The sequence below is a fragment of the Homo sapiens genome, chromosome 4 (assembly GCF_000001405.40).
Source record: "Homo sapiens chromosome 4, GRCh38.p14 Primary Assembly".
NCBI lineage: Eukaryota > Metazoa > Chordata > Mammalia > Primates > Hominidae > Homo > Homo sapiens.
The window spans coordinates 15,608,093-15,622,129 of NC_000004.12; the positions used below are offsets into that span (position 1 = coordinate 15,608,093).

The following is a 14,037-nucleotide window of genomic DNA, read 5'->3' on the forward strand; positions in this document are numbered from 1 at the left end:
ACATACCACCGACACGGAGGACTTACTATAGTCCTATTTTTTTAAAAGGACAGAAAGGTAAGGGAGAAATATTATGCTAAATTTCAACAGTAGCCTAAGAAAAATATGCCATATCTGGAAGCAATGGAAGTGAAGTATGCAATTGGTTTTCAAAGGATAAAGTAAAAGGGAGACTCAAAGGAGCAAACAGATCAAAAAAGCTATTCTCCTAGAGATTCAGATCTAACCTGACATGACACAGTTTTTCACCACCCTCCCCAAAAGATGTAGGGTCCACATGCTCAGTTTCCACCCTAGCTACCTGGGTCATTATGCTCCTGAAGTCTAAGGGATGGTGGCAGAGATAATGGGGGAAGAAAAATGTAGAAATAAAAGTTTTTACCCTGTATTAGGTAAAAAGCACAAACCTACTGTCAGCATCTCCTTATTTATCACAAAACAAAGTTCCTGCCTATATTCATATAAAATGTGTCTACTCAGTGAGTAGACACATTTTATATGAATATAGGCAAGAACTCTGAATACATTTTAAGTTCACCAGAATTGAGTTTCAGTGAGATTCTAAGTATACAGAGTGAAGAGAGAGAATATATTGTTTTCAAATTTGAAAGCAGAATCTGTTTAAAGAAGGCTATATGAACTTAATCAGTAACTATAGTATTAAATGACTCAAAACTACAATCCTATGATAAGGTAAATAATAAGAGTAGTTACTGGTATTTGATCCCAATAATCATGAAAGTGACAGCACCCATTAAAGGATCTGCTGAAGGCCTGAGCCAAAACAAAAATGAAGACAAGCACTGTTTTAAACTCAGTATCACATTGTAGAAAACAGGAGACTAACACCTTCCAAAGCATGGAAAGTATAAGCAACATTAACAATAAAATCCTTAAGTAACACAGAAGGACTGTTCAGAGAAGTGAATAAATGGACAACAGAATAAATGGACAACAGAAAAGGTGAGGGAAAACTAGAAAGAAATATGACTAAGATATGATGGATTGCCAGGTAGACAGCTATGCTTTAACAGACGAAGATAATTCACAAGGTAGTTCCCTTTAAATATTTGACTTATCACCAGCAAACTTCCATCTCGATGTAGGACACAGAACCCAAATGGTTAAGATATATAAAGCCTAAATTACATTAAGGAATAATAAAGAAAATAGAAAAATATAATTGAATAATCATTAAAATATTTAAATGCGTGGTAAAGAATAATCTTATAAGAAAGCATTTTTAAGTATCAGATGATAGGAAGTATAAGGTTAGCTATTATTTCTCCAGACTTTTATTATTGAATAACTTGTTTTTACTGAGTTCTAAGTATATTACTTATGCTGTATATCTGCACTTACCTTCACTTACCTTTAATTCCTCTTTAACTTAAATTAGAAACATAAAAGAGCACATCATCTGAGACTGTGTCACCTCCAAAACTATGAGCTAATCTATCTTAATTTATAAATTATACATACATTGAAATGCAAATCAGTAAAAAAGTTTATTTGCTATCATTGCTCAAATGTTCTTCACAGCTCTACAACTATGCTATTCCATTTAACACTTCTTAAATGTTAAAGAAATTTTTTAATGTTATGGCTAAGAAGACTTTTCAAATCTTATCAAATAAATTTAAAAGTCATAAAGAATCATTCAGAAGAATCTAGACTTGCATTTTATATCAAGACACTTTATGTACAGTGTCTTGCACTGTACTGGGCACTGTTTGAATATATGATAACTAACTTATTATCTCCAAAATCTCTGCTAATGCTTGGAAAATAGATCATTCTGCTTTACTTATCATGTATTACTTAATGACTAATGTTTATCAGTATTAACTTCTTTTACATTTAGTAACCTGATAGTTAACTATATATGTTTTCTTTTAAAAAATATATTTTTAGCTAAACGTCACTTTCAAATATTTGAAATATAATTTGTCACCTAAATACACTTCTCCATTGCTCTAATACCACGTATTAAAACACACTACTTTCAGAAATAATAAAAATAGTAACAAGGATGCCCCTGAGCATTCACTAGATATCTACTGTACAAGCTGAGCTGTTTTGAAAGATACTGGAACAAGTGTCATCTTGCAAAACTGGATACAACACAACTTCTTTCTAACACTTTCTAGGTTGTCCACATATCCTTTTAAGGAAAAGACTATGAGAGAGCATTGCTTTAAGAACAACCTATGTGGAACTCAGACACAAGTTATTTAACAAGTCACCCTGTAAATTTTAAAGGCTTTCCATTCCCCCAAATCATGCTTCAATAAGCTATAAAAGGAGAGTTAATATTGGATTATACAAGCACTGAAATTTCCTTTCAAATCTTTCAAAGTCAGATATCTTCATCACAATTCATTTATTTTAAAAAATCAATCATTTATCCAAAAAAACTTTTACATTCAACAAAAGGAATATAATAGCTCCTCTGAAACTATATATTCAAAACAAGTTTAGAGGAAATGCATAAGGACAAAGTGCAAAAGATTTTAATTATTTCATTTTATCCCATCATCTAAATTATTTCAAAGTTTAAAAACATACAAACATAAAACAAGTAAGCATAAAAACAAACTGAAACCCAGTCCCCTCCCTCTACCCAATAACATCTATGAATCCAAAAATAAATATAATGAATTCAATAGTGAGATTTATTCCAAAGCATAACCTATGCTGAAATCAATATGAAAAATTCAAATGCAACATACAAATAAAATTTTTTCTGATAAAAAACAATTGCTTATTAATTACTCTTGATAATATGTCCTATAAGCCTTAGGAAGTGGAAGTATAGCACTAAACCTACAATAAAATAACTTTATGTTAACAAAACTCCGTTCTCAAATCCACAGCATCCACAAAAGTAACAGCTTCACTGCATCAATCAAACTTTGTTTTCATAGGCTTAGCATGTTGCAACTACAATGACATTCACTTTCACCAACTACGATGACATTCACTTTCACCAACTATGATGACATTCACTTTGGCCATTCCTTGATTATACACAGAAGGCAACAGAAAACAAAGAAATGTCCAACTTAGTGCTGATATATCAAGAACATGGGAGGTCATCTCCTGCATAACAATGTGATTCCTGAAATAAGAGAGCTACCATCTCCAGTTTCCTCTTATATATTTTAAGGAAAACCTAATCTCGAGAAATAGCAGTTTTCTCCATTTTGCGGTATGTCATTACTCCCTCTGGTCTTCCTGACTCCTGTCAATTGTTCTGCCTGAGAAAAATTTTGTTGATTTTCCTGTCATCTTAAGGTGAACTGGGCACTCAAAGACAATAGGGCGCAGTATAAAAAGACAGGTACATAGTAGTCTGAGCCATCTAAAATTTTCTCCAGTTATAAATACAGGAGGTTGATTTGCTTACTAATAACAGAAGAGCAGCTTTTTATGCTTCTGGGAAATTCAGTCTCTACCAGTGACTATCAAATGTGCAAAAAGGCACTGAACATACTTTGAAAAAGCATGTTCAATAAGACCACTGTAGGGTAGAATATGTTTAAAAGAACAAAATCAAGAAGTATTTCTTGTGATTTTTGAAAGTAGGTTCAGGAATCAATTTCCAAAATACTACAGGAATTCTAGTCATGTCTAAAGCATCTCAGACTCTTCTCAATACTACATACTGTCCTCTCCCCTCAATCTTTGCTAAGAGTTGTCATCAGATCCAGAAACTCTGGAAGTCCACATTACCAAAGTCCTCATTTTTCTACATTTGATAAAGCTGTCTTACAAGAAATAAGACTCTATTATCCCTAAGAAATCAGTGTATCTAGAACATAAATAGTTCTAAATTCTTAATGAGTGCTACAAAACTCTAGAGGAATACCTAAAACTTTTAACAAGAATTTTAGTATTTCTATTAACTTACCATTTTTGATTACACTATTACATCCCTCAAAAATCTGACACAATGGATATTTAGAATATACATCTGCAAGAAAAACTTACCTTTCAAGATGTTAATTAATGAAAATGTAATTTTAAAATTTTATCAAATTTAACTAAATCTGAAAGTAAGATAGTCTGGGAATTAGAAATCTAGAAAACTAAATGGAAAAATTATTAGAACTGCTAAAAAAAATTTTAAATTAATTCCTTCAAAATTATCGCACTGTTAAAAGGCATTACCGTTAATGTTGTCACAGTAGTAAAAGTATTCATCATTCAGAGAAGGACATGCTGAAACCAAATCCTGCAGGCCTGCACCAGTTATAGTAAGACAACCAGAGAGATTAAGGTGCTCCAAATAAGGCAGCCCTCCTCCCAGAGTCAAAACCCTGTAAGAAAAATAATTTGACAATTAGAAGATACTAATCTATAAAAATGTTTGTATTCCTATGGTTCACTGAACCACTATTTTACATACTTTTCAATATGGTAATGAGAAAATTTAAGAATTTCTGTAAAACACTGATAACTAACCTCATCCTTAGGCAGAAATACATTTAACTCAGAAAATGTTCAACATTTTTCCTAACAACATTCAATAAAGAAATCTATAAAACTGTTCTTTATAAGAACATCATGGTAACTCAATTCTTAGAGGAAGTACTGAACCCTGGAGTTGTAATGTTCATTCTCCTACCCAACTGTATTAGTAAGTAAAAATTATCAAGAAAATTACTGAAGCTTAAAACCTAATAAGCAGTTGGGCAGTTTCTAAAAAAAAAATTATAGATACACCTAGCATATGATCCAGCAATTCCTGTCCCAGGTATATACCCAAGAGAATTAAAACCATGTTTACACAAAAACTTGCACATGAATGTTCATAGTAGCATTATTCATAACAGTTAGAAAGTAGAAACAACTCAAATGTCCATTAACTAATAAATGGATAAATAAAATGTGGTACATCCATACAATTAAATATTCTGCAGCCACAAAGTACTGACACATAGTATAACATGCATAAACCTTGAACACATAAACCTAATTTTAAAAAGCCAGATACTAAAGGCCACATATTGAATGATTCCATTAATATTATCATTCCAGAAGAGGTAAATCCACAGAGACACCAAGTCGATTCATGGTTATCAGAGGCTGGGGAAAGGGGGAGTGAGAAGTGACTGCTAATAAGTATGGGGTTCTTTTTGGGATGATGAAAATGTTTTGAATTAGTCTGTGGTGGATGGTTGAACAACCCTGTAAATATACTAAAAATCACTGAATTAATCGTATACTTTTAAAAAGCAGTAAATTTTATGGTATGTTAATTACATTTCAATAAAAAATAAAACCTAATGGCACACCCTAGAAGAATAAAAGCAGTATTTACATAAATAGGATAAAATTAAAAGGTGGCTCCTTGTATTTGGATGTTTAAATCTCTAGGAAGGCCAGAGAAGTTTTCCTTGATTATTCCCTCAAATAATATGTTTTCCAAACTTTTAGAATTCTCTTCTTCCTTGGGAACACCAATTATTCTTAGATTTGGTCATTTAACATAATCTCAAACTTCTTGGAAGCTTTGTTCATTTTATTTTATTTTTTATTCTTTTTTCTTTGTTGGGTTGGGTTAATTTGAAAGCCTTGTCTTCAAGCTCTGAAGTTCTTTCTTTTGTTTGTTCAATTCTATTGTCAAGACTTTCCAGTGTATTTTGCATTTCTCTAAGTGTGTCCTTCATTTCCAGAAGCTGAGATTGTTTTTTATTTATGCTATAAATTTCTCTGGGGATTTTCCCATCCATATCTTATAACTTTTGTTTTTTTTTTTATTTCTTTAAGTTTCTATTCACCTTTCTCTGGTGCCTCTTCCAGTAGCTTAGTAATTGACCTTCTGATTTCCTCTTTCCGGCAATTGAGAGATTTCTTCTTCATTTGGATCCACTGCTGGTGAGCTAGTGTGTTCCTTTGGGAGTGTTAAACAACCTTGTTTTGTCATATAACCAGAATTGTTTTTCTGGTTCCTTCTCATTGGGGTAGACTATGTCAGAGGGAAGATCTAGCTCAAGGGCTGTTATTCAGATTCTCTTGTCCCACAAGCATGTTCCCTTGATGTGATGCTCTCCCCACTTCCCCTAGGGATGGGGCTTCCTGAGAGCCAAACTGCTGTAATTGTTCTTTTCTGGGTCTAGCCACCCAGCAGAGCTACTGGACTCCAGGCTGGTACTGGGCAATGTCTGTGATGAGTCCTGTGATGGGATCTGTCTTCAGGTCTCTCAGCCATGGGTACCAGCACCTGCTCCAGTGGAGATAGGAGGGGAGTGAAGTGGACTCTGTGAGGGTCCTTGTTTGTGGTTTTCTTTAGTGTGCTGGTTGGCCTCCAGCCAGGAGGTGCCACTTTCAAGAAAGCATCAGCTGCAGTAGTATAGGGAGGGTACAAGTTTGCCCTGGGGTCACCTGGGTAAGTATTCAGGTTTCTCAGGCAGTGGGCAGGGCCATAGAGCTCCCAAGAGATTATGTCCTTGGTCTTTGGCTACCAGGGTGGGTAAAGACCATTAGGTGAGGGCAGGGTTATTCATGTCTGAGCTCAGACTGTCCTTGGGCAGGGCTTGCTGCGGCTGCTGTGGGGGATTAAGGTATGGTTCCCAGGCCAGTGGAGTTATATTCCCAGGGGTATGGGTGGAGTTATGTTCCCACAGGTATTATTGAGAGGTGACAGCACGCTGGCAGTCCTCACAGCCCTCGCTTGCTCTCAGCACCTCCTCTGCCTGGGCCCCCACTTTGGCGGCATTTGAGGAGCCCTTCAGCCCACCACTGCACTGTGGGAGCCCCTTTCTGGGCTGGCCAAGGCTAGAGCCCACTCCCTCAGCTTGCAGGGAGGTGTAGAGGGACAGGCGCAAGTGGGAACCGGGGCTGCGTGCGGCGCTTGCGGGCCAGCTGGAGTTCCGGGTGGGCGTGGGCTTGGCGGGCCCCGCACTCAGAGCAGCCGGCCAGCCCTGCCGGCCCTGGGCAATGAGGGACTTAGCACCCGGGCCAGTGGCTGCGGAGGGTGTACTGGGTCCCCCAGCAGTGCCAGCCCACCGGCACCGCGCTCGATTTCTCACCGAGCCTTAGCTGCCTTCCTGCGGGGCAGGGCTCGGGACCTGCAGCCTGCCATGCCTGAGCCTCCCACCCACTCCATGGGCTCCTGTGCCGCCCCAGCCTCCCCAACGAGCACTACCCCCTGCTCCACGGCACCCAGTCCCATCAACCACCCAAGGGCTGAGGAGTGCAAGCACACGGCGCGGGACTGGCAGGCAGCTCCACATGCAACCCCGGTGTGGGATCCACTGGGTGAAGCCAGCTGGGCTCCTGAGTCTGGTGGGGACGTGGAGAGTCTTTATGTCTAGCTCAGGGATTGTAAACACACCAATCAGCACCCTGTGTTTAGCTCAAGGTTTGTGAGTGCACCAGTCGACACTCTGTATCTAGCTGCTCTGGTGGGGCCTTGGAGAACCTTTATGTCTAGCTCAGGGATTGTAAATACACCAATCGGCACTCTGTATCTAGCTCAAGGTTTGTAAACACACCAATCAGCACCCTGTGTTTAGCTCAAGGTTTGTGAATGCACCAATCGACACTCTGTATCTAGCTGCTCTGGTGGGGCCTTGGAGAACCTGTGTGACGAAACTCTGTATCTAACTAACCTGATGGGGACGTGGAGAACCTTTGTATCTAGCTCAGGGATTGTAAACGCACCAATCAGCGCCCTGACAAAAAAGGCCACTTGGCTCTACCAATCAGCAGGATGTGGGTGGGGCCAGATAAGAGAATAAAAAGCAGGCTGCCCAAGCCAGCATTGGCAACCCGCTCAGGTCCCCTTCCACACTGTGGAAGCTTTGTTCTTTCGCTCTTTGCAATAAATCTTGCTACTGCTCATTCTTTGGGTCCACGCTGCTTTTATGAGCTGTAACACTCACCGCGAAGATCTGCAGCTTCACTCCTGAGCCCAGCGAGACCACGAGGCCACCGGGAGGAATGAACAACTCCAGACGCGCTGCCTTAAGAGCTGTAACACTCACCGCGAAGGTCTGCAGCTTCACTCCTGAGCCAGCGAGACCACAAACCCACCAGATGCAAGAAACTCCGAACACATCTGAACATCAGGAGGGACAGACTCCAGACGCGCCACCTTAAGAGCTGTAACACTCACCGCGAGGGTCCGCGGCTTCATTCTTGAAGTCAGTGAGACCAAGAACCCACCAATTCCGGACACATTATGGCTGCCTCTGCTCTGTCATACAGGTCACCCGGGAAGTGGGGGAAAGCTGGCAGTGACAGGCCTCACCCAGTTCCCACACAGCCCAAAAGGCAGGTCTCACCCCCAACAGCACCATGCCCCCTCAACCAGGCAACTGGTGAGCAGGGCTAAGATCTTGCCCAGACTACAAGCCTCCCCACTGAGAAAGCAAGCAGGGCTTTCAAGTTTCATGCCTGCCCATCTGCCATGGCTTCTGTGCTCGTATCTGAACTCCCCTTTCATCCCTTCCCTCAGATTCTGTCCAGGAAACATCCCATTCAATTGAAACTGTTACAACAAAGTTCAGCTGGACGTTTCCTTCTCCCTATGGTCTTTCCCCAATTCCAGTGACAGCCCTCCCCAAGGACCTCTGCAAGAAAAAGTCAGAAATGACTTCCCTGGGGACCAAGAATGCCCACAGGGATCTCCCCACTGCTTCCTCTACCCCTGTATTTTGCCCGGCTCTCTAAATTCATCTCAGCTCCAGGTAAGCTCAAATCCTTCTCCCGTTATCTAGACCTTCAGGTTCCCCAGTGAGGATGTTGTGTTCAGAGGCAGACATTTCCCTGTCACACTTTGGGCACTCAGTTTTTCAGCTGTCTCACAGAGCCTGCAGTGGCAAGCTGCCTCTTTCCCAAGATGGCTATTGTTAAAAAGTCAAAAAAACAACAGATGCTGGCGAGGTTGTGGAGAAAAAGCAATGTTTTTACACTGTTGGGAGTGTAAATTAGTTCAACCATTGTGGAGGACAGTATAGCAATTTCTCAAAGACCAAGAAGCAGCAATTCAACCCAGCAATCCCATTACTAGGTATATAACCAAAGGACTATAAATCATTCTATTATAAAGACATATGCATGCCTATTTTTATTTCAGCACTATTCACAATAGCAAAGACATGGACTCAACCTAAATACCCATAAGTCATAGAATGGATAAAGAAAATGTGGTACAAGGCCGGGCACAGTGGCTCATGCCTGTAATCCCAGCACTTCGGGAGGCCGAGGCAGGTGGACTGCCTGAGCTCAGGAGTTCTGGACCAGACTGGGCAACACGGTGAAACTCCATCTCTACTAAAAATACAAAAAAAAAAATTAACCAGGTATGGCGGCATGAGCCTGTAGTCCCAGCTACTCTGGAGGCTAAGACAGGAGAATCACCTGAACCTGTGAGGTGGAGGTTGCAGTGAGCCAAGATCGCACCACTGTACTCCAGCCCAACAGAGTGAGACTCCATGTCTCAAAAAAAAAAAAAAAAAGAAAGAAAACGTGGTACATATACACCATGAAATACTATGCAGCCATAAAAAGGAACAAGATCATGTACTTTCCAGGGACATGGGTGGAGCTGGAACTAACAAACTAGCAAACTGGTAAACCATCCTTAGCAAACTAACACAGGAACAGAAAACCAAATACCGCATGTTCTCACTTATAAGTGGCAGCTAAACGATCAGAACACATGTACACATGGAAGGAAACAACACATACTGGAGCCTGTCAAATGGCGGTGGGTGGGAGTAAGGAGAGGATCAGGAAGAATAGCTAGTAAATGCTGGGATTAATACGTGAGTGATGGGATGCTCTGTGCAGCAAACCACCATGGCACACGTTTACCTACGTAACAAACCTGCACATCTCACACAGATACCCTGAACTTAAAAGTTGGAAGTTAAAAGAAAAAAAAGGAATTAGAAAAAGGAAACATGGACTAAATCCAAAGTAGCAGGAGGGGAAACAATAAAGATGAGAGCAAAAATTTTTTAAACGACAAATACAAAACTAATGAAGAAAAACAAAACCAGAAGTTTGTTCTCTGAGAATTTCAATAAAATTGGCAAAGCTTTAGCTAGATTAAGAAAAAAAGAGAAGACACAAATTACCAAAGTCAGAAATGAAACAGAGGATATTACCACTAATTTTATAGAAATAAAGATCATAAGAAGCCAGCATGGTGGTGCATGCCTGTATTCCCAACTACACTTTAAGAGGCTGAGGTGGGAGGATTGCTTATACCTAGGAGTCTGAAGGCAGCCTGGGCAACACAATGAGACTAAATATAATAATGATGAAAATAATTAAAAGATCATACTCTCATAATCCAGAAACTCAAGAAATACCCAAACTGATCAAGAAGAAACAGAAAATCTGAATTGACTTATAAGAAGATGAATCAAAACCCTCTCAACAAAGAGACCAAAACAAAATAGTTTCACTGATAAATTTTACTAAACATTTAAAAAAGAATTAACATTGGCTGGGCGCAGTGGCTCACGCCTGCAATTCCAGCACTTTGGGAGGCCAAGGCAGGTGGATCACCTAAAGGTCAGGAGTTCAAGACCAGCCTAGCCAACATGGTGAAACCCCGTCTCCACTAAAAATACAAAAATTAGCTGGGCGTGGTGGCACGTGCCTGTAATCCCAGCTACTTGGGAGGGTGAGACAGGAAAATCGCTAGAGCCCAGGAGGCGGAGGTTACAGTTGAGCCAAGATTGTGCCATTGCACTCTGGACGACAGAGCAAGACTCCGTCTCTAAAAAAAAGAAGAATTAACATCAACCTTTCTCAAGCTCTGCCAAAAGAGGGCTGGGTGTGGTGGCTCATGCCTGTAATCCCAGCACTTTGGGAGTGCTTGAGCCCAGGAGTTTGAGACCAGCCTAAGCAACATGGTGAAACCCCATCACTACCAAAAATACAAAAATTACCTGGGCATGGTAGCACACGCCTGTGGTCCCAGCTACTTGTAGTGGTGGGGCAGGGGGGTGCTGAGGTAAGAGGATCACTAGGAAATTGAGGCTGCAGTGAGCCATAATAGCACCACTGCATTCCCAACTGGGTGACAGAGTGAGACCCTGTCTCAAAAAAAAACCTCTTCCCAAACACGTACAAGAAGGACAAATATAAAATTCATTCTATGAAACCAGTATTATCAAAGCCAAAAACACAACAAGAAAATTACAGGCCAATGTCCCTTATGAATACAGATGCAAAATTCCTCAGCTAATACCAGTAAACTGAGTTCAGTAGCATATTAAAAGGACTACACACCCTGACCAAGTGGGTTTTTATCAACTTTCAGTATATGAAAATCAACCAACAAATCACACATTAATAAAGGAAAAAAATGATCATCTCAACTGATTGAGAAAAAAACGTGACAAAACCCAATATTCTTTAAACTAGAAATAGACAGGAACTTCTTCAACTTGATAAAGGCCATATACATGAAAAACTCACAGCTAACATCATATTCAGTGGTGAAAGATACAAGCTTTTCCCTTAAGATTAGAACAAGGTAAAAATGTACACTATTATCACCTCTAATTATCACAGTACTAGAAGTTTTAGCCAGAGCAATTAGACAAGAAAAAGAAATAAATGACATCCAAATTGAAAAGGAATGTCAAGGTGGCACATGCCTGTAATCCCAGCTAGTCAGCAGGCTTAGGTGGGAGGATCCTTTGAGCTCGGGAGTTTGAGTTGAGCCTCAGCAACAAGTAAGACCCAGTTCCCCCCACCCTCCCAAAAAAGTAAAAGGAGTAAGTAAAATTATCTCTATTTACAGATGATAAGATCTTCTATACAGAAAACCCTAAAACCTGTTAGAACTACATAAACTCAGCAGGCCAAGTACACATGCCAATAGTCCCAGCTACTAGGGTGGCTGAGGCAAGAGGATCACCTGAGCTTAGGAGTCTAAGGCTGCAGCGAGCTATGATCATGTCACTGCACTCCAGCTTGGACAACAGAGCAAGACCCTGTCTCAAAAAAGAACAAAAAGAAAATTCAGAAAGATAAAGAGTCGACACACACAACACTCAGTTGCATTTCTATACATCAACAATTAACAATCTGAAAAATAAATTTTAAAAAATCCCATTTAGAATAGCATCAAAGAAAATAAAATATTAAGAAATTAACCATAGAGGTAAAGGACTTGGATACCAAAAACTACAAAAGACTACTGAAAGAAATTAAAAAAGATCTAAACAAATGGAAAGATATCCCACATTCATGGGTTAAAAGACTTAATACTGTTGTCAATTTTACCCAAAGGGATCTACACATTTAATGCAATCCCTATCAAAATCTCAATGGCATTCTTTGCAGAAATAGAAAAAACCGACCCTAAAATTCTGATGGAATCTCAAGGAACCCCAGATACTAAATAACCTTGAAAAGGAAAAACAAAGTTGGAAAACTCACACCTCTTGATTTCAAAACCTACAACAAAACTACAATAATCAAAACAGTGTTGCCACTTCTGTTTAACATAATGCTGGAAATTCTAGTCAGAATAATTAGACAAGAAAAATAAAAGGTCTATTGTTGGGAGCAAGCCCCCCAAAATCTGGCCATAAACTGGCCCCAAAACTGGCCATAAACAAAATCTCTGCAGCACTGTGACATGTTCATGATGGCCATAACGCCCAAGCTGGAAGGTCGGGGGTTTACGGGAATGAGGGCAAAGAACACCTGGCCCGCCCAGGGCGGAAAACCACTTAAAGGTATTCTTAAGCCACAAACAATTGCATGAGCGATTTATGCCTTAAGGGCATGTTCCTGCTGCAGTTAACTAGCCCAATCTATTTCTTTAAGTTGGCCCATCCCTTCGTTTTCCATAAGGGATACTTTTAGTTAATCTAGTATCTATAGAAACAATGCTAATGACTGGCTTGCTGTTAATAAATACTTTGGTAAATGTCTGTTCAGGACTCTCAGCTCTGAAGGCTGTGAGACCCCTGATTTCCCACTTCACACCTCTATATTTCTGTGTGTGTGTCTTTAATTCCTCTAGCGCCACTGGGTTAGGGTCTCCCCGACCGAGCTGGTCTCGGCAGTCTATTTTGGAAAATCAGAAATTAAATTATCTGTCTGTAGATGGCACGACCTTATATGTAGAAAACCCTAATGAATTCACAAAAAAAATGTTAGAACTAATAAATTTAGCTGAATAGTAGGATACAAAATCAACATGCAAAACTCAGTTATACTTCTATATACTAGCAATGAACAATTTGAAAAGTTTAAGAAATAAAATTGTATTTACAATAGCATCAAAATGTGTAATATTTAAGAATAAATTTAACCAAGGACTTGTACACTGAATTAAACAAGAAATGGAAACAAGAATTCAAGTAAATATTTATATGCCAACATTCATAGCAGCATTATTCACAATAGCCAAAAGGTGGAAACAACCTCAGTGTTCATCAACAGATGGATAAACATAATGTGGTATATAAAAAGGAATGACGTTCTGATACATGCTACGATGTGAATAAACCTTGAAACACACTAAGTGAAATAAGCTAGATACAAAAGGACAAGTATTGTATGATTCCACTTATATGAGGGGCCCAAAGAAAGTTAAAAATTTAGATAAGAGGCTATTTTTAATTAACAGCCAAGATTTATTTTCATTCCTATGAAAGCCAGAAAATAATGTATTAAGACCACAAATGGCCCTATCTGTTCCCTATGGTTTCAAACTAACTAAAACCTTATCAATTTAACATTCTCCAGTCAATGCTCCTTCTTTTGAGACAGGGTCTGGCTTTGTTACCCTGGCTGGAGTGCAATAGTGCCATCTCAGCTCACTGCAACCTCTACCTCCAGGGCTCAAGTCATCCTCCCACCTCAGCTTCCTGAGTAGCTGGAACTACAGGTGCATGCCACCATGCCTAACTGATTTTTGTTTTTCTTTTCGGTAAAGATGTAATTTTGCCATGTTGCCCGGGCTGGTCTTGAACTCCTGGGCTCAAGTGATCCTACTGCGTTGGCCTCCCAAAGTGCTGGGATTACAGGTGTAAGCCATCACACCCA

The 14,037-nt window shown here is 39.7% G+C and overlaps 1 protein-coding gene across 21 annotated transcripts in view; it reads right to left on the minus strand.

The window, feature by feature from the left end:
• FBXL5 (F-box and leucine rich repeat protein 5) overlaps nucleotides 1–14,037 on the minus strand; it is a 77,189-nt gene that overhangs the window by 3,712 nt on the left and 59,440 nt on the right. For all 21 annotated transcript variants that reach the window (NR_036464.2, XM_047450056.1, XM_047450055.1 and 18 more), the window contains one exon: nucleotides 4,174–4,322. Coding sequence is in view for 20 of the 21 variants with exons in the window: in XM_047450056.1 (XP_047306012.1) it covers nucleotides 4,174–4,322 (149 nt within the window). In the remaining variant the exon portion in view is untranslated. The remainder of the gene's footprint in view (nucleotides 1–4,173; nucleotides 4,323–14,037) is intronic.